At 39.5% G+C, this 21,403-nt stretch overlaps 1 pseudogene, besides 1 other annotated feature; it reads right to left on the bottom strand.

Moving 5' to 3' along the window:
- Positions 1,438-2,637: an enhancer, noted in NCBI's record as "BRD4-independent group 4 enhancer chrX:92840114-92841313 (GRCh37/hg19 assembly coordinates)". NCBI's record gives its function as "activates an origin of replication core promoter dependent on BRD2, P300/CBP, MED14 and CDK7 cofactors, and independent of BRD4, by STARR-seq in HCT116 cells {active_cell/tissue: HCT116}" and the evidence as "EXISTENCE:reporter gene assay evidence [ECO:0000049][PMID:35650434]".
- Positions 13,098-13,920, bottom strand: RPL7P55 (ribosomal protein L7 pseudogene 55; annotated as a pseudogene).

Raw genomic sequence — 21,403 nt, 5'->3', positions numbered from 1 at the left:
AATAGTTGTTTATTAGGTTGCTTTAGTTGTACAGTCTTGTACTGCATAATGATGTTTTGGTCAACAACAGATCACATATACAACAGTGGTCACATAACATTATAATGAAGCTCAAAAATCCCTATTGCTCAGTGACATTGTAGCCATCCTAATATCATAGTGCAATGCATTACTCAGGTGTTTGTGGTGATGCTAGTGTAAACAAACCTACTGTGCAGCCAGTCATATTAAAATGATAGCACATACTATTATGTGCAGTACATAATACTTGATAATAATAAAAACAATTAGTTACTGGTTTATGTATTTAATATACTTTTACTGTAATTTTAGAGTGTACTTCTTTTACTTATTAAAAAAGTATACTATGCAGGCAGCAACTTCTTACATCTTACGTTTACTGAGTCTCTTAATTGCATCATTTTCTATTGTGCTTGATTTACATCTCTTGTTATTTTGTTCATCATGGCCCTTAAGTGTCGAAAATCCACTGCTAATGTTGCCAGTAAGAGCCACGGTTGACAGCTTGACCTGGAAGCAAAATTAAAAGTGATTAAGGGCCGGGCACAGTGGCTCGCGCCTGTAATCCCAGCACTTCGGGAGGCCAAGGTGGGCAGATCAACTGAGGTCAGGAGTTCAAGACCAGCCTGGTCAACATGGTGAAACCCCATCTTTACTAAAAATACAAAATTAACCAGGCACGGTGACGCACACCGGTAATCCTAGCTACTCAGGAGGCTGAGGCAGGAGAATTGCTTGAACCCAGGAGGCGGAAGTTGCAGTGAGCCAAGTTCGCTCCATTGAACTCCAGCCTGGGTGACAAGAGCGAAACTCCATCTCAAAAATAAATAAACAAATAGAAGTGATTAAAAACTCCAAAGATGAAAACTCAGTGATAGTTATTGCCAGTCACACATATCCCATTCCACCATGATCTATGATCTTGAAGAACAAGAAGAAACTGATGGAAGCTATTAGAGGATCTGCTTCATTGAAAGCAATAATACAAAAATGATGAAGAACCCCCAAGAAAATTGGAGTGAAGGGTTTAGCAGAAGCCTTTGAAGACCTCAGCAAGATTTTTTAAAAGGTTATACGGACCCCCAACAACAAAAGGTTTTCATTAATAGAGAGGAATGCTTATGGTGCATTAAGCACATCTGTGATGTAACAATGAAATAAACCAAACAACTAACCATGGGCATATTTCTGACAATAGTGATATATCCTGAAGAAGAACGCTCAGGCATGTCCTTCACAAGGTATTTCAGAAGAAGGCATTGTTATCATAGGAGATGACAGCTCTATGCATGTTATTGCCCCCTGAAGACCTTCCAGGGGGACAAGATGTAGAGTTGGAAGACAATGACACTGATGAACCTGACCTTGTGTAGGCCTAGCCTCATGTGTGTGTTTGTGGCTTAGTTTTTACACAAAAAGTTTTAAAAGTAAGTAAATAAATAAATTTAAAATTGAAAGCTAAGTATGGTGGCATGCACCTGTAGTCCCAGCTATTTGGGAGGCTGAGGCTGGAAGGTATCTTGAGCCCAGGAGTTTGAGGCCAGCCTAGGCAATATAGTGAAACCCTGTCTCTTAAAATAAACAAACAAACAAATAAATAAAAATAGATGAAAGCTTACAGAATAAGGATACAAAAAAGAAAATATTTTTGTGCAGCCGTGCAATGTGTTTATGTTTTAAGTGTTATTTAAAAACAAAGGTTAACAAATTTAAAAGTTTATAAAGTAAAAACATTAGAGAAAGTTAAATTTAATTGATCATTGAAGAAAGAAAAATATTTTTAAAATAAATTTAATGTAGCCTAAGTGTACAGTGTTTTTACAGTCCACAGTAGTATACAGTAATATCCTGGGCCTTCACATTAACTCATGAGTAATTCACTGACTCACCCTGTGATGATTAATAATGAGTGTCAACTTGATTGGATTGAGAGATACAAAGTATTAATCCTGGGTGTGTCTGTGTGGGTGTTGCCAAAAGAGATTAACATTTGAGTCAGTGGGCTGGGGAAGACAGATCCACCCTTAATCTGGCAGGCAGAATCTAATCAACTGCCATAGAATATAAAGCAGGCAGAAAAATGAGAAAAGGGGAGACTGGCCTAGCCTCCCAGCCTACATCTTTCACCCATGCTGGATGCTTTCTGTCCTCGAACTCCATGTTCTTCAGTTTTGGGACTCGGACTGGCTCTCCTTGCTCCTCAGCTTGCATACAGCCTATTGTGGGATCTTGTGACCCTGCAAGTTAATACTTAATAAATTCCCATATATATGATATATCATATATTACAGATATAGCTATATATCATATCATATATATAATATATCTCTCTATATATCACATCATATATAGATATATATGACATATATATCATATCATATCTATCTATCCTATCCTATTAGTTCTGTCCCTCTAAGAGAGCCCTGACTAATACACACCCCAAGCAACTTTCAGTCCTGCAAACTCCATTGATGGTATGTGCACCATACAGGTGTTACATTTTTTAATTTTTCATGCCACATTTTTACTGCAACTTTTCTGAGTATAGATATATTTAGATACACAAATACTTACTCTTGTTTTACAATTGCCTGCGGTATTCAGGACGGTAACATGTATACAGGTTTTGTAGCCTAGGAGCAATTGGCTATACAATATACCCTAGGTGTGTAGTAGGATATACCACCTAGGTTCCTGTAAGTACACTCTATGATGTATCCCTGTCATTGACTGATGCATGACCGTGTTTACAGTGTTTTAGAGGGAGAGCAAGTTAACCAAGTTTCTCATTCTACCAGGCCTGAGATTTTACCCCTTACCGTTTTATTGTGTTTTATAATATTTCTTGTAATTTAATTTAAGGCCCATCTAGATAATCTAGAATAATCTCTCCACATCAAGATCCTTAACCTAATCACATATGCAAAGACTCTTGCCAACTAAGGTAACAAGTCACAAATTCTCAATATATTTCTTCTGTTCCTCCTTCTGATATTTCTCTTTTCTTAATTGAATACTTTTAAAATTCTATCTTGATTTACTTACAGTACCTTTCTATATATTACTTTGTTTATCTTAGTAGTTGTTCTAAGTGTGACAATATACCTCTATAACTTAGTATGGTCTACTGGTATTGTCTCTACCTCTTATTCTGGAACTTTGATGTTAGATCTTTTGCTATTGCACCACAGGACTCTAAGGCTAATTTCATTTTTTTCCAGTCTACTTTTTATCTCTTGTTCATAATGGATAAATTCTATTATTCTTTCTTCAAGTTTCTTGATTCTTTTCTCTTTTCTTTTTAATCTACTGTTGAGCTAATGTAGTGAATTTTTATCTCAGTTAATGTACTTTTTAATTCTGTAAATTATATTATATTTGGCTCTATTTTATTTCTTTTGCTCCTTTGCCAAGATTATATATTTTTTCCATTAGTTCCAACAATATTTATAATTGATCATTGGAGCATTTTTATAAATTCTGCTTCATAATATTTGCCAGATCATTGCAATATCTAAATAATTTGCATTTTGACCTCTGTTGTTTTTTCAGGTTGTAATTTTCCGTTTTTTGGGGTATGATGAGTAATTTTCTATTATATCCTAGGCATATGAGACTTCAGATTCTATTTAAATCTTCTGTTTTACTAGGAATTCATCTTATTTTAGTGTGCAAGTCTGGCCTCCTCTTTTGAGCTGTGTTTCCAATAACAATTTACTATCCACAGCCCTTGCAGTGCTATTTTGGTTTACTTTGTGTAGCACTTGTGAGGCATTCTGAAACAGTGTGATTTTCTACACTGTAGTTTAGTTCTCAAACCTTTCTGTGTGTTGATACTAGTCACATTAAGGTGTGAGTCATTGCAGGGTCTTTTCAGTACTTCCTATGCAGATATAAAGATTCCCTGTCTCCAACTTCCTTCTCTTTGATATCCTTCCTTTACCCTCTATTTGGGAGGGAGATGGGCACCTTTTGATAGAACTTGGAAATGGTGCAAGTCTAGACTCACTACTTGGTCTTTTGTTATAATGTACCAACATGGAAGTGGAATTTTAGGTCATCTGACATGGCTTGTTGGGGAGTATTAGTAAAGACTTTCACTCGGCCCTCACTGATGCTGCCAGTGGGGGAGACAATTACCTCCCAAGGGTACTCAATGCCATCTTATTTGTCTATTTTATTTATTCTACTGGCTTTTGCTCATAAATTATTTTATTCTATGTAATTTTGCAATTTTTTCACATGGTGTTCATATTTATTGGTGCTTTAAATATAAGAATTATTTGATAATTTTAATTAAGAGTTTTAGAATTTGACTTAAATATTTCTTAATTCCTTCTTGCTCCTTTAATAAATAAAATATATTTTTTAAAGAAATTATCTATCACTTTCTCTTGTTCTCACTGGGAAGGTTGGTTAATGTACTGAGAATGCCATATAGCTGATAATTGAGTCTTGTTTTTATTAAAAATCAGACTAAGTTAGAGTCTGCTCAGGAAATTTACTAGAATTTAACTTTCCTTTTGTTCAGAGAACAAAATCTAGAGTTGGTAAATATCTTGTTTTGCTTCTTAAAATCATTAGTCTCTCAAGATTAATTGAATCCAATAACTCCCCTCTTGATTTATATTGTTTTGTGTAGCTGTTAATTGTCAGATTATATAGAAGGCAGAATAGCAGTCCTCCAAAGATATCAACATCCTAATCCTGAGAATTTGTGAATAGTTACCTTACTTGTCAAAAGAGATTTTGCATATGTGATTAGGTTAAGGATCTTGATGTGGGGAGATTATTCTATATTATCTAGGTGGGCCTTAAATCCAATTACAAGGAGTCTTGAAAGATAAAAGAGGGAGGCAGAAGAGTCAAAGAAGGAGATACTGTGATGGAAATATAGATCAGAATGCAATTGCTAGCTTTGGAGATGGTGGAAGAGAGCATGAGCCAAGGACTACAGGTGGACCCTAGCAGCAGGAAAAGGCAAGAAAGTAGATTATTTCTTTGAGACTGCAGAAAGTGACGCAGCCCTGTTAACACCTTGACTTTAACCCAGGCCTGGTTTCTGACCTCTGGAACTATGTGATAAGAAATTTGTGCTATTTTAAGGTACTAAGTTTATGTTCATTTTTTACTGCAGTCATAGGAAACTAGCATTGAGGAGTAATTATTGCTTGAAATTGTGTTTAAAGCATGATGACTTAGAGAGTTTTCTATAACTCTCTTAAATGACTAAAAATACCTGTTTTGATAAAATGTACAAGTCAAAAGTATTGCATTCTCACTACGATATAAACCTCTTGGGTCTTAATTGCCCTTTTATCTTGGTAATATTTATAAATTAAAAAAACAAAACTAAAAGTAAAACAAACAAAAAACTCAAAACTCTACTCCAATTCACAAGTACCTTTTTCTCAACCCAGTTGCAGAGGTAGGTTAAATCATTCACTCAAACACAGATTTTGGTTAGGGGCCTTAACATTAAGAGAATATCAATTCTAACTTCTAATTATTAAGCAGTAGTTAAGAGCATGGGTTCTGTAGTCAGAGTATCTGATGTTTTCTCAAATACACCTTTGGAATTAAGTGGAAATGTTACAGTAGGTAGTTAGTTAGGCATGAGCAGGGCAGGAGAGGGCCCTCCTTACACCCCCACCAGGAAAGTCAGGTGACCATCTGGTGATGGTCAGGTGGTTTTTAACTGACTCTCTAAAATAATAATTGGTCGCAACCAGCACCAGGGGAAGGCAGCCTCCCTATAGACAGGAAACATCTGTAACTGGTAATTGGCACCTTTCAGGAGTTGGGCGAGTAAGCTCAAGCATGCACACTAAAAGACAAAATGGCAGAGTATGACCTTCTGGGGCCATTCTACCGGAAAAGAAAAGAAAGCCTCAGGTGGGCAGGCATACAACTTCTTAAACACACGCCCCACGTGAGCAACTTGAAGGGTAAGTGTAGTGTTTGACCTTTTGACTTGAGGTTTTATATGTTGGCATACTTTCAGGGTCTTTTGTCCAGGCTTCCACACATGCAGGTTGCCCACCCTAAGGGAAGAACCATAGAAAAAGAGACATGAGACCCCGGAAGTATGCCAACATATAAAATCCCAAGTCAAAAGGTCAAACACCACGATTGTCCTCCAAGTCAACCACTTGGGTCTCTTCCAAATGTACTTTCCTTTCTTGCTTGCTCTGAAGTTTTTAATAAGCTTCTGCTACTGTTCTGAAATTTGCCTTCATCTCTTTTTCTGCCTTATGCCCCCTCAGTTGAATTCTTTCTTCTGAGGAGGCAAGAACTGAGATTGCTACAGACCGGTACAAATTTGCCATTGGTCATGTGGATATTCTCCACCACTAACATATTGATACCATGTGACTTGGATACCTTCTACCCTTAACATATTTGATGCTGTTTGGCTTGGATTGCTCCCTAGTGGTGAGAGATCTCTATGCTTCACCTTCGTCAGCTGGAGGCATTTGACCCCCGTGTGTTGTTTTCTTCTCCCCTTTTTCTCTCTCCTGCTTACTACCCATCCCCCAGAACAATTCCTCTTGGTCATAAGTAACTCTGTTCCCCGCAGCTAATTTCTCAGCTCACCATGATGGGTTGCTTGTGGAGGTGGGAAGGACCTTAGGGTCCATACCAAGTAGATCTGAGGCACTGATGACCCTTCTGGAAGGGAGGCTCAAAAGAGTGGTGAGGCTAAGGTCTAAAACCATGCAGTGTCTTGGGGTTTCCTCTGTTTTTTGACTAAAATTAGCTCTTTTCCAAAACCCTGCATGGCCCAATGGCCCATTCTCCCGTTTTCTCTATGTGTGTTCTGAAATAGCCTTGTGCACCTGCCAGACCATCTGCCTCAGGGGCAAGTGCACCTCTTTGCTTTCACTTTGCATGCCACATGACTTCTTAAACACACACTCCCTATGACTCTCTGCGTTTCTGCGGCAGCAAAGACGTGGGCTCCCTTATAGATATCCCCTGAGATTTTTACTTGTTTTTACCAGCTCAGAGGGCCTCCAACTGTTCTTCTGTCTGCTGGCGTATGGCCTGGACAGACACTAATTGGAACTCTAGCTCTGCCAGCTCCTTATAATTTACCGTACGCTTTTTATTTCTGTTATGCCCTGGGGCCAAGTTTTTGGTGGCCTTTAAAAGCAGTTTGTTCACCTGCATAGGGCTTCACTCTGAACCTTTAAGGATCCCATCTACTTTCTTTTGGTTTTTCTGAGTAAGCACCACTTTGGGAGCAGGGGGAATTTTTCCTTTATTTGCAAGTTCTTATGCCAGGTCCAAGCCTTCCAGAGGTTACTATATTCTGCCCAGAGGGTGAATAAACATTGCCCTTTTGCATCCCAGGGCCGCTATTTTCATGAGCATATGAAGGCTTTCTATGAGTATTCATCTTGTTTCCTTCCACTTCCTCCTATAGCCTCCATTTCTCTAATTACCTCCACACCCTTCTCCAGATGCATCAAGACCTTCAAAGTAATATTCTAAAGGAGGGGGAGAGAAGTCCACCCCCTTGCAGTAATTAGCTGAAAAGCAGAGTTTTAAGAAAAGAGATAATCATTTTATTACTAAATTGCTTTGAGTGAGAGTCACTATAAGGTCATGGAAACAAGGATATAGGCTAGCCCAAGGCAGAAGACACAAGAGATCCATAGGACAGAGATGGAGGGTTGTCCCAGGCTAACAGATTACCATTGAAACACAAGAAAAAAGGTTATGGGGTACAGGGTAATGTTACGGGGTCTTTGGGGTGTTACTTTTCTGGCCAGAAACCTCCGTGGCTGGTGGCACCTTTGCCCAAGTTTTGCTTGTGCCCACTGGGCTCATTCTGCCCACTTGATCTGGCAGGCTGCACTCATCTCATGCTACCAGCCTGGATCCCACATTTTCAAGGGAGACTGCAAATCAGGTGTGGAGCAGCGAGGAGTGTGTGAGCAATTATGGGGTCCAGCCACTGTCCAGTCAGACACTCCGGCTACTGTTGCAGAGTGGGCAACTCCAGGTGCTGACATGAGTGTTGGCTGTCTGCGAGGCTGTGGCTGAACCAGGTGCACCACACGCAGCTTCCTAGGCTGGCACCAGGGAATGCGTTGGTGCCCAGAAACTTGGAGACACCGGCAACTGCAGGGACCCAAAGAGGGAGTCACAGCCCTGGCTTGGGGAGCTCCCAGGTCTGGGCTCCCCAAAGGGCCACAACTTTTCTCTTCTCTTCTCTTGCAATGTGGTGAGCAAGGGCATGTGTCAGCCCTGTTTGTGTTACTGCTCTTTTAGCCTCATCATTCAGTGGGTCCTGAGTTCTTGTCCTGTGACCAGGAAGAATGAGGTATGCAGACAAGTGGAAGGTGAGCAAGAGGAAAAGGGGCTTTATTGAGCGGTAGAACAGCTCAGAGGAGACCTGCAGTAGATATCCCCTTTCTACAGCCAGAGTGTCCCGATGAGTGTTCAACTCCTAGCAGAGAGGAGACCCTAGAGTAGGAAGCTCCTCTCTGCAGACAGGTCATCTCATTGAGTGTTCAACTCCCTGGAGTGGAAAGCTCCTTTCTGCAGGCAGGTCATTCCGCTATCTCCCCATTGTCTTTCCATCTTCTCTTCAAGTGTGGCTGAGTCTGAAGCCTCCCATGGGCAGCCATGGGAGGGCCCAGGGAAAAGCACCACAATTTCCCCCTCTGGTCCATGGGACTGGTGGCCTGGCACCCAGGCTTTAGGTCCTCTTTGGCTTTAAGGTGGGGCTTCAGAAGGGACCCACCCCCTTCTGCCCCAAAGCCTGTCTGCTTCATGCCGCTATTCAATGTGCCCAGGCTGTTCATGCCAAGGGGCACCTGCAGGCCAGCACTGGGCAGTCCTCAGCACCCCCTCAGCCTCCCTCCTATGCCTGTTGACACTCAATGTCTGGAGGGGACCGAGGTGGCAGGGGGTTGGCATGTCAGCGCTTCCTCAAGCATGTGCACACCCAGCGAGGCTGCGACACAGCACTCTGGCTCAGCCCCGAACTTGTTCCAAGACTGGAGCAGATGTTGACAGCAGGGAACAGCCAGGCAGTGGAAGCAGGCATCCTCAATCCTGTTGGGGGGCAGAGGGGCCTTCCCAGGTTTCCCAGAGTACAGAGATGCTTGGATCCACAGCCATGGCAGGGTGGCTGCAGCTGCACTCAGGGAGCTCCTGCCCCACCAACTTGGAATGGGGGGCTCTCACTTGTCCCTAGCTCCTGCTGGTTCTTTGGAGCATGCAGCCCTGATCATGCCCCTTCACAGCCTGGGACAGGGGCTCCAGGTCATTAGTGGGCCCAGGCTGGCATCCGGGGCAGGGGTAATGTCACCATGAGCTCCTACCACGTCCCCAGCATTCAGGAGTAGCTTGGGGCTTCCCCTCATCTGGCTCATGGTTCTGCCCAGGGAGTGCCTCTAGAAGCGAATTGCAGGTCCCGGTCCCAGCAGTCAGGAGTGTCAGGATCGGTGGTCACCCTGATGCAGGGCAGTCCCTGGGGATGCGGCCCTGGGCAGCCCCATGCAGAGCCGCCTCATGAAGCACAGGAACCCAGCGCCCTCAGTGGGGTGAATGTTGTGGCTGTGCCACTGACCAGGTCCCCAAAGTGGGCACTGCTCCCAGTTCCCACCCTGGGCCCCTGAAACATGGCCCCAGCTCCACACCCCAGGCCTGGCCCCCATGCTCCATGTGCAAACGCGTCCCTGCCCCTGGATCAGCTCCATTTTGGGGTCTCTCTCTTCCCGACCGCACTGCTCCCCAGCTATCAGGTGATTCAGCCTGGCCCCATTATGGTGGCCCCCAGGGTGGGGGACTCCAGGAGGTTCCTAAGGGTGGGCTCCAGAGACTGTCTACCTCCTCTCCATGCCCTATCTGCAGCAGCAGTGGGCGAGAGTGGCAACACGGGGACAGGGTCTGGAGTGGTGGAGGCTCTGGGCCTGGGAGTGGGTCCCACCCAGCAACACAAGAATGGGGGTCATGCAGTTGGGTTCCTCAGGGCACAGGAGACATGTGGCACAGGAGTTTCACCACTGCCTTTGCTGCTCCCACAGCCACTCCTGCTACCACTGTTCAAGTCTCCCCACTGCACCCAGCATGATGTCAGTGGCCACTCTAGATGGTCCACCACTGCCATCAGTAAGATGGGCTATTTCAAAACCTCAAGGATGGACAGGGGCCCAGGGTTCAGTGCAGTATTATTTGAAACATAAACTTTAAAAAATTATAATTAGCACTGCTAATTTACAACTATAAGGCAAATACCTTAGACCTCAGTTCATAATGAGCCCAGTATATTCAAATTCATTTGAAACTTATTACTTAGTTTTGTTTAAAAGTTTGGAAGGCTGTTATGGGTTGTGTCTCTCTACAAAATCATATGTTGAAATCCTAGTCCCCAGTACTTTTGAATGTGACTGTATTTGGACATAGCATCTTTAAAGAAATTAGTAGTCATTCTCAATTGTCTGCCATTAAGATTTTGATAAATTTGGGATACTACGTGAAAAGTAGTATAGTAAAATTTCAATGTAACAAAATGTTAGAAAATGAGCATTCTGGTTTACATAGTTTTTGCCTGAGTATTTAAAATGAAACAATTATGTTTCATTCCTCTGCTGAAAATATTTTAAACATGTTTTAGTTGTGTTAGTCCATTTTGCTGCCTCAGTAATGGTAGTCTGGGGAAGGTAATTCATTCTTTGGTGATTGAGAATCTTTCAGGACCTTCGGCCATTATTCTTAAAATAAATCATTTATAAAAATGACTTTCTTTTACTTGTAAATAAAGATATTTTAAGAGACTTGGTCTGAAGATGTAACTTTTAGATCTCATCGTCTACTAGAGAATATTTTATTGTGTTTTATATCTTTATTTTCTAGTTATCAGTATTCCTCTTCCTCCTATAGCACTGTAGAACAAAATTAAAATGTGATTACTAAGAATTACAATTCCTCTGATCTGGCTAATCAGTGTTTTATTATCTTAAGGCAGTTGTTTTCATAGTAATGAAAACAGAACTGTTTTAGGATTCAGAAGACCTGAGTTATAGTCCCAATTTTGTATCATAATAACCGTATGACCTGGACACATAACTTAAATTTTATTAGTCTTACATTACCCATAAAATCTAGATAGGTATATGTGAAAAATAGGCTAAAATAAATGTATTTGTCTTCACTGCCTACCTAAAAGGTTGTTGTGAGGATCAAATAAGATATGTGTCTCAGTCAATTTTTGCTACTATAACAGAATAGCTGAGAGTGGATAACTTAAAAGAACACAGTTTTATTTTCTCACAGTTCTGGAAGCAAGGAAGTCCAAGATCAGGGTGCCAGCATCTTCTGAGGGCCTTCTTGCTGTGTCCTTCAGAGAAGAGGAACACTGTGTCCTCACACAGAGTAAGGTAGACAAGCATAGAGAAAAAAAAGGGGCCAAGTTCACACTTTTCTAAAAGCATTAATCCTACACATATGAGGATAGGATTTGACCTCATGGTCTAATCATCTCTTAAAGATCCCAACTCTTAATACTGTTACAATGGCAATTACATTTCAGCATAAATTTTGGACAGGACAAATATTGAAACCATACGAGCATGTAAAATGTCTGTAAAATTTAGAAAATACTATGTAATTATGAAGTGGTAATGATTAAAGTAACAAGATATAAGTATTTTTAAGTATATATATCAATATATTAACAATATAGTATTTATAATATATAATTATATTATAATATTTGTAATGCAGAATATAATTTAATGTAATATATATTTTATAAGAGACAGGATCTCACTCTCTCACCCAGTGGAGTTGAGTGGTGAAATCATGGCTCACTGCAAACTCAAACTCCTGGGTTCCAGCAATCCTCCTGCCTCAGACTGCTGAGTTGGTGGGATTACAGGTGCCTGCCACCATGTCTGGCTAGTTTTTACTTTTTATAGAGACAGGGTCTCACAATGTTGCTCAGGCTTGTCTTGAACTCCTGGCCTCAAACAACCCTCTTAACTCAGTTTCCCAAAGCACCAGGATTACAGGTGTAAGCCACCACTCCCAGCCAGATTAAGTATTTTAAACACAACAGTTTCAAATAAATTTTGGAGGAATTTGCTAATTTCTTATATAAACTCATGAGAGTCAGCCAACAATATTTATATTCAATGAAATGTTTTGTATTTAATTAAAAGATGACCTATTGAACAATTTTTAAATGAAAAAACTTAATCTTTACCTGCATTATTTTCTGGGAGCAAATATGATGTTTATACATATAAAATTCCAAGTACTGGTTTCTAGTAGGAAGAAAGTTGAGATTTTGACTTAATGTGCTTCACATACCTACAGGCACAAGAAAAAAAAAACTGCTCTCTTGTTACTAATTAGTAGACATACAGTAATACAATATGAAAATCGGAAAGCACTGGGAGTGGGTAAAAATTGAAATCTCTTTCTGGCAATTTCTTAAAAAGCTTTTCCTCTTGGCAATGTATTTTCTTTGCACTTTAAAGTGGTACCTACTTATTAAATAATGTGAGTATCACAGGGATCCTGAGATTAAGTAAAATATCACATGGACCCTAGCTTTTCTATGTAGCCAAGTTGTTTACCACTTAGTGTATTATGACTTTAGATATCATAAGAAGGAGTATAGCATAGTAATTAGGCACATAGGCTCTGGAGACAGAAAGCCTGGTTGAGAAACCAGCTTCATCATTTGCTAACTGTGTGCATTTGGGAAGAGGCCCTTGTATTCATTTCCTATGGCTACTGTAATGAATTTCATGGCTTAAAGCAAAAAAAAAAAAAAAAATTATTATCTCACAATTCTGGAGTTTGGAGGTTTGAAATTAATATCACTGGGCTAAAATTCATATGTTGGCAGAGCTGCTTTTCTTTATGGAAGCTCTAGGGGAGAACCTGCTTTTTTGACTTCCAATTTCTGGTGACTACCAGTATTCATCAGCTTGTGGCTGAACCACTTAAATCTGTGCCCCTGTGGTCACATTGTCTTCTGTTCTATTTGTGATTGAACTTAGAGCCCACCTGGATAATACAAGATAATCTCTCCTTCTCAAGATCTTCGAAATATTTTTTTTCAGTTTGAAAGTAATAACTGTTTATTAACTGACCAGGTTACAAAGATAATCATGGCAGACACTTTAGTTTATCTTTCTAACAAACCTGTTGTTCTGGTGTGCCCTGTTGCCAGCATCTCCACCATCTACAAAATGTGTCTTTTTTTTTTTTTCCCACATCTGGAGAGGATAATTTGAAGGGCCACAGGAAGTTATTTGCTTCTTTGAAGCATTTTCCAAAATTATAGATGCCATGAGTCAAATCCTTCCTGCAGATGATGCCCTATTTACTGAGCCACTGAGCAATCAAAGTGTTATCTGTCACAGCAATTTGCTTCTTATTGATTTTGCCATAACTATGCTTGTAGATTAGTTTATTTACTGATTTCAGGTTTGGGTAACCCTATGGTTCTACAATCCTCAGCATGTTAACTGAAGACTTGCTGAGCTTAACAAAAGTTCCATTGAATATGTGACATAGGCAGAGAAGCTGCAACACCTTTTGGAACTTTGGGCTCACACCATTAATAACTCTAATCCTGACGACAAATGCCAGTTTGGATTCAGCAGGTTCAGGGAAGTTTCCAGCTTTTCTTGTCATCCTAGCCATTCATATTTCATTTCTGTACATCTGCCTATAGTCATTGTGATAGTAATTCACTTTTTCATAGACAAAGCATGCTTTCCTTTGTTCTCCTTGCCTTTCAAAGCATCTTTTGGGCTTTTTTTCTCTGGCGCTTGATCTTCAACTATGTAAAATTCCTTTTACTTATTGTTAAGGGTTTCTGGCACAGAAGAAACCTTTTCTTCCTCTTTTCAACACCCTCCATGGGTCAACACCCTCCATGGTTCCAGCTGGAAAAGAGCAAGATTTTTAAAATCCGAATCCCATCTACAAGTACTCTGTAAAGTAACATTTACAAATTCCAGGGATTAGGAGCAGATATATGTGGTGGGGGTGGGGTGGGGGAAGTATGGGACTATTTATCAGACTACCACAGCACTGAAACCTTTCTGAGGCTTCATTCTCTTTATCTCCACAGTGATGATGATAACAGCACCCACCTCCATGGAGGTCCATGGAGAACTTTAAAATAATGCAACAATTTATGTAAGCTTTCTGGCCACATGGGCCAGTTATATATTAAATGCTCTTATGATAGCACAAAACTCCTCTTCCGGATAATTTTTAAAATAGAACATACTCATCATCACGTGCATATTTTTATTATGACTAAACACAAACATAGAAACTAGAAAATCAGAGACAAACCAGTAAAATTGTATTTTTTCAGTATTCCTTAAAACCCTGAACAAAGTTGCCTGTTTTCTTCTAAATCATACTGAATTCACTTGCTAATGTTGAAGAATGATCAGGATTAAATATGAAGAAGTGTTCTTCTCCTGACTACAATTATGACTGACAAAGCATAACTCATGACATGGGGAGCATTGAATCTGCAATGCCTCCTTTTTAAACGAATACATGTTTTTAATTTTAGATTCACAGAAAAATTGCAATGGTAATACAAAGGGACTCCATACGTTTTCTACTCAGTTTTCTCTACTGTTAACATCTTACATTACTAATGTGAAAGAAAAATAAATATCAGGACCCCAAAATCAGTAAGCTAAAGGGAAAAGTCAAGCTGGGATCTGCTTAGGGCAAACCTGCCCCTCATTATATGAAAAGTCACCCCTCTGCTCACTGAGATAAATGCATATCTAATTGACTCTTTTGGAGAGGTTAATCAGGAACTCACAAGAATACAACAGTTTGTCTCTTATCTACCTATGACCTGGAAGCCTCCTCCTGACTTTGAGTCATCCTGCCTTTGCTTTGAGTTGTCCTGCCTTTCCAGACCAAACCAATGTTCATCTTATATATGTTGATTGATGTCTCATGTCTCCCTAAAATGTATAAGACCAAACAGTGTTCTAACCACCTTGGGTCCATGTCATCAGGACCTCCTGAGGCTGTGTCACAGGCACGCATCCTCAACTTTGGCAAAATAAACTTTCTAAATTAACTGAGACCTGTCTCAGATATTCAGGGTTCACATCTTGGTAACCATGAAAAGATTCTGAGTAAAGGCGTCCCTGACCTTTGACAAATCTCCTATTGGTGCTTGGTACCAGTATAAACTAACTTTTTGACTAAAACCAATAGGACAATTTGCTGAGGTCTGGGAGCACGCCCCGCCATATTTTCCAAAACTGGGTTGAGATATAAAGTTTATTTTGCTGTACAACTCCCTTTTTGGAGTTTTACTTACGTCCAACAAGGAAGACAAGATTTTCTCCTTCCATGATGATGAATGGCAGGTAACTCTTTCATGGAGTTTGAGCTCACTCTCAACAGAGAAGGCAAGTTTGACATTGTTTGTTTGTTTGTTTGTTTGTTTCTAGGATGATAGAGAGCAAATTCATCCTGAGACCCATTTTCAGGTAAGTAGCTGAATTGGGGTTTTGTCTTGGCTAAAGTTAACAACCAGCTGGTCTTAATTTCTCCTTACCAATAGAGCACTCAGTGATCATATTGTTGGGGATTCCTGTTGTTATTTATTCCGGTCTTTCTCACATCAGATTTGACCAACTCTACCTGACTTGATCAAATCTGAGTGAGAATTCCAAATTATGGGTAACAAATCCTCTCTAATTTGGCAAAATTCCTCACAGCTGCAAAAGAGGGAACAAAACAAAACAAAATAAAAAACACATGCACTTGGTTTCTGTGTTTTATTCCTCTCTTAAAATAAAAGTTCTTTTGTTTACTTTTCTTCCAACCTATGCCTCCTTCTCTCCCTTTGCCATCTGCAGTACCAAAAAATCTAGAGAAGACTTTCAATGACTTGAACCCCTTTAAAGAATTTAAAACAAAAGTGCCACTCACCCCTTTTGGGGTGTTCTGTTTTCTTTGTGGAGTTTCAAGAGCCTTGGGCAGGTTCTTCTTAGGTCTAAAGCTATATTTTATTTTATTGCATGACCTGACCTCTTTGACTTTGGGGGCACCAGAGATGACCTTGTATTCTGAGAGGATTTGACAGTGGCCTGTGTAATGGCATACAAGAGCTGCGAGGTTAGGGGTGGCTGTGAGCATTTTACAGGAAGTGGTCTTGGCTGTTTTTTATTTTTTATTTTTTCTCCTAGGAAGTTGTTGTTTAAGGATCCTAATTCCAGTGTGGAGATGCATTCTAATGGATCTCCTCTATTGCTTTTTTTCTCAAAATTAATCTTGATTGGGCTTGTCTGTGCACACTTGCATGAGGAACTGAACTATTGTTTTCATAGGTAAATGAGAGACTGAGTTTTCTCGGCTCTGAAGAGAAAGGATATTTTGCTTCTCCCAGCTGAAAGGTGCTGCTGGGTGACCAGCGGCCTTGTGGGAGCATCTGGGGACTTGAACCCCTGTGACATGCAGCAGTCCTACAGGGACATCCCCACAAATTTGATTTTATAAAGGCTCCTCCAAGAAACACATGTAAGGACTGATCACCCAGTGTTTTGAGCCATCTCAGAGGTCATAGACTTCTGGAGAGAGAAACTGAGACATGTAAGAGGGTGGAAACGACTCAGTGGTGACACACTGTGGAGTCCTGTCCACAAGCAGGACACATCAATCCACCACACAAAAACCCTAGGCCACAACTCAGTTCTTCCTTTTAAGAAAAAAAAAAGTGGAAAACAAATAGAATGAAGAGAAGATAAGGATGATACCCCCCCTTTCAAGCACTCTGTACATTTTATTGCACCTCTACTTGCCAGAGTTTATGTAAAATTGAAATAACATGATCTTTATGCACATTTACATTAAGGAAAAAGAGCCCTAAGTTTGACTTGCAAACTATAGAGCTCCTAAGTTCTCTTTTTCTCTATGTTCTTTTCTGCGTGATTTACATGTGCTGTTATTTTTCTACTAAGATAAAAACCACTGTTTGGAACCAACAGGTTTTTTTGCAAGCTGGGGAATTTGTATTTATGTCACCGCTAAAGTTCTGAAGTAAAAGCTATAGGATCTTTGTGTGTGTGTGCGTGTGTGTATGTGTGTGTGTGTGTATTTAAAATGCCTTTATAATTTCTATAATTTTATGTTTCATAGGCAATTAAATCAGTTTTAATATTCCTCTAGCACTCCAGACTTTTTCTCTCCATACTTTATGTTGCAAATTTTGCAATTTGATTTTTACCTGAGTTTTTTTCTTTAATATGCAAATTTAAGGCTATTTAGCTGACAACTGCCTAGGGTAGTGAAACAGGTTATTAAGAACTTGAAAGTTCAGGGCCGGGCGCGGTGGCTCACGCCTGTAATTCCAGCACGCTGGGAGGCCGAGGCGGGTGGATCACGAGGTCAGGAGATCGAGACCATCCGGGCTAACACGGTGAAACCTCATCTCTACTAAAAATACAAAAAATATTGTTTCTCCTCTCTCAAATAATACAGGTTTTTGCCTTTTTCTGAAATCCTTGAGTTATCACTTTGGTCAAATGAATAACTTATTTTACAATGACCTGTAATATCAAATGTTTTAAACCTTTGATATTTGACAAACTTTCCAAAATCAGATCATTCATTATGTCTTTTTCTGACCTAATTAATCCTTTAAGATATTAGGTTTCCTGAAGTCCAAAAATTGATGTAATTTGGCTTATGTGGTATATAAATTATACAGGAAGCATTGTCAAATATGAAGTGGTGTTTGGGTTTTTTGGGGTTGTATTTGTATAAATATGTTATTGGTGATACCACCATCATTCTTCACAAAATTAGAAAACACAATTCTAAAATTTATATGGAACCAAAAAACAGCCCGCATAGCCAAAGCAATACTAAGCAAAAAGAACAAATCTGGAGGCATCACACTACCTGATTTCAAGCTATACCATAAGGCCATAGTCACCAAAACAGCATGGTGCTGGTACAAAAATAAGCACATAGACCAATGGAATAGAATAGAGAACCCGGGAATAAACCCAATACTTACAGCTAACTGATCTTTGACAAAGCAAACAAAACCATAAAGTGAGGTAAGGACACCCTTTCCAACAAATGGTGCTGGGATACTTGGCTAGCCACATGCAGGAAAATGAAACTGGATTTTCATCTCTCACCTTATATAAAAATCAACTCAAGATAAATTAAGGACTTAAGACCTGAAACTATAAAAATTCTAAAAGATAACCTTAGAAAAACTGTTCCAGACATTGGCCTCGGCAAGGATTTTATGACCAAGAACCCAAAAGCATATGCAATAAAAACAAACACAAATAGCTGGGACATAATTAAACTAAAGAGCCTTTGCATGGCAAAAGGAACAGTCAGCAGAGTAAACAGACAACCCACAGAGCGGGAGAAAATCTTCACAATCTATATATCTGACAAAGGACTGATATCCAGCATCTACAACAAACTCAAACAAATCAGTAAGGAAAAACAATCATTCCCATCAAAAAGTGCTCTAAGGACATGGATAGACAATTCTCAAAAGAAGATATACAAATGGCTGACAAACATATGAAAAAATGCTCAACATCACTAGTGATTAGGAAAATGCAAATGAAAACCACAATGTGATACCACCTCACTCCTGCAAGAATGGCCAAAGTAAAAAAATCAGAAAACAGTAGATGCTGATGTGGATGTGGCAAACAGAGAACACGTCTACAATGCTGGTGGGAATGTAAACTAGTACAGCCACTATGAAATACAGTGTGGAGTTTCCTTAAAGAACTGAAAGTAGAACTACCATTTGACCCAGCTATCCCACTACTGGGTATCATTACTTGAAAAAGATCCTTGCACACGAATGTTTATAGCAGCACAACTCACAGTTGCAAAATCATGGAACCAACCCAAATGCCCATCAATCAACAAGTGGATAAAGAAACTCTGGTGTTTATAAATATATATATATCATATTGATATATATATTTACATATATATTACATTTATATATAGATGTATATGTATATATATATCTATATATGTTTTTATATATCATATATAATGATATATATATATACATATAGATATATATATGATGGAATACTACACAGCCATAAAAATGAATGAATTAACAGTATTTGCAGTGACCTGGATGAGATTGGAGAGTACTATTCTTTTTTTTTTTTTTTTTTTTAGATGGAGTTTCACTCTTGTTGCCCAGTCTGGAGTGCAATGGCAGGATCTCGGCTCATCACAACCTCCACCTTCCAGCTTCAAGTGATTCTCCTGCCTCAGCCTCCCTAGTAGCTGGGATTACAGGCATGTGCCACCATGCCCAGCTAATTTTGTATTTTTAGTAGAGATGGGGTTTCTTCATGTTGGTCAGGCTGGTCTCGAACTCCCAACCTCAGGTGATCCGCCCGCTTTGGCCTCCCAAAGTGCTGGGATTACAGGCATGAGCCACTGCACCTGGCCTATTGGAGAGTATTATTCTAAGTGAAGTAACTCAGAACTGAAAAACCAAACATCGTATATTTTCAGTGATATGTGGGAGCTAAGCTATGAGGACACAAAGTCATAAGAATAATGCAATGGGCCAGGTGCAGTGGCTTATGCCTGTAATCCCAGCAATTTGGGAGGCCAAGGCAAGTGGATTACCTGAGGTCAGGAGTTCAAGGCCAGCCTGGCCAACATGGTGATATCCCATCTCTACTAAAAATACAAAAAAATTAACTGGGCATTGTGGCGGACACCTGTAATCCCAGCTACTTGGGATGCTGAGGCAGGAGAATCATTTGAACCTGGGAGGCAGAGGTTGCATTGAGCCAAGATCGCGCCATTGAACTCCAGCCTGGGCAACAAGAGTGAAACTCTGTCTCAAAAAAATAAAAACAAAAATAAAAATAAAATTAAAGGTAAAGAATAATGAAATGGAATTTGGGGGTTTGGGGGGAAGAAGTGGGAGGGGGGCAAGGGATAGAAGACTATAAATATGGTGCAGTGTATACTGCTTGGGTGATGTGTGAACTGAAATCTTGCAAATCACCACCAAAGAACTTACTCATGTAACCAAATACCACCTGTACCCCAATAACTTATGGAAAAATAAAAATAAATAAATAAATAAAAATATGTTATTGGTATGTGCTCTAAAATTATAGGAAACTCCTCTAATTCTCTTATAACTTAGTGTACTTTATCAGTTAATAATTAAAATTGTAATGGTAAATTATTTTGTGCCAAAGTGGTAACAAAATTCCTTGTCAACTTTGTCTTTGACTGTGACTTCCCTGAAACTTTTTGCTGTCCACAGATAATTGTTGTCTTGTTTTGGTCCTCTTTAGATGGTAGTTGTATAATCAGCTATAAAACTGTGACATGTGCTCTTGAATGCAGGTTTCTGATAACTGGAGATTGTGACATCAAAATAGAGGAAAAACTTTGAGGACTCATGGAGAGCTGAAATGTTCATGACTATCAAGCAGAACAGGAATTAACTGTATGAACTGAAATAATAGAAGGCTGAAGTAATTTTTTTGACTTTTTGCTTAAAATGGTGATTATTTGTTTTCTTTTTTTTTCAGTCAAGCAAACTTTTCTTTTGAGCTATTGACAGCTTTAAACTATTTAGTATACTCCCATGAACAAAATTTGGAGAATATTTCTACCTAATTTCTCTAGAATTTGGAAACTATTTGTGAGTATTCTTAACTTATGGCAATACAGTTATTTGCATAAGTGCAATAAGAATATGTTTTTATTTGTAATAGGATACAATTGGAGAAACTGGTAATTTTACCAAGGCTTTGACTGGAATGGTGTGCTTTTCTTTAAGGAATCCAACTTGACTTACAGAGACAATAAAAGCCCCTTGAGAAAAATGGCCTAATACCTTTGTCTACACAGTTCCCATACAGGGTTCCTGACCTGTGGTAAGTAAAAAATGTCACTTTCTGACAGGCTCATGAGCCCCAAGTTTGTCTTGGGACCTTAAGAAGAGAGAAATCCATCCAACACATAGGTATTTGATGGTACAAATCCATGGCTGGTCTTGGCTTTAAAAACATCTTATCTGAGATTTCTTCTATGGAATAAAGTTCCATCAAAGCCAATTTTAAAGCCTGTGTAAAAAATAATTATTCTTGCTACACTGTATACAAATAATCAGGTGTAGTATAATAAAGCAAATCAGTCCTACCATGATTTGCCTTTAGTAAAAATGGGAAACTGGAGAGAGAAAAATTATGTTTCAAAAACTATAGTACACCTGTTGTTAAATTCTAGTCTTGCCTAATGTTTTTCAATTTTTATTATTTTCTACAGTTTGGACCAAATTCTTTTTTGGGGGGTGGCTACAAGTCTTCAAAATAAT

This window comes from Homo sapiens, chromosome X, assembly GCF_000001405.40.
Source record: "Homo sapiens chromosome X, GRCh38.p14 Primary Assembly".
Taxonomy (NCBI): Eukaryota; Metazoa; Chordata; class Mammalia; order Primates; family Hominidae; genus Homo; species Homo sapiens.
This window is presented reverse-complemented; position numbering and strand designations above follow the sequence as displayed.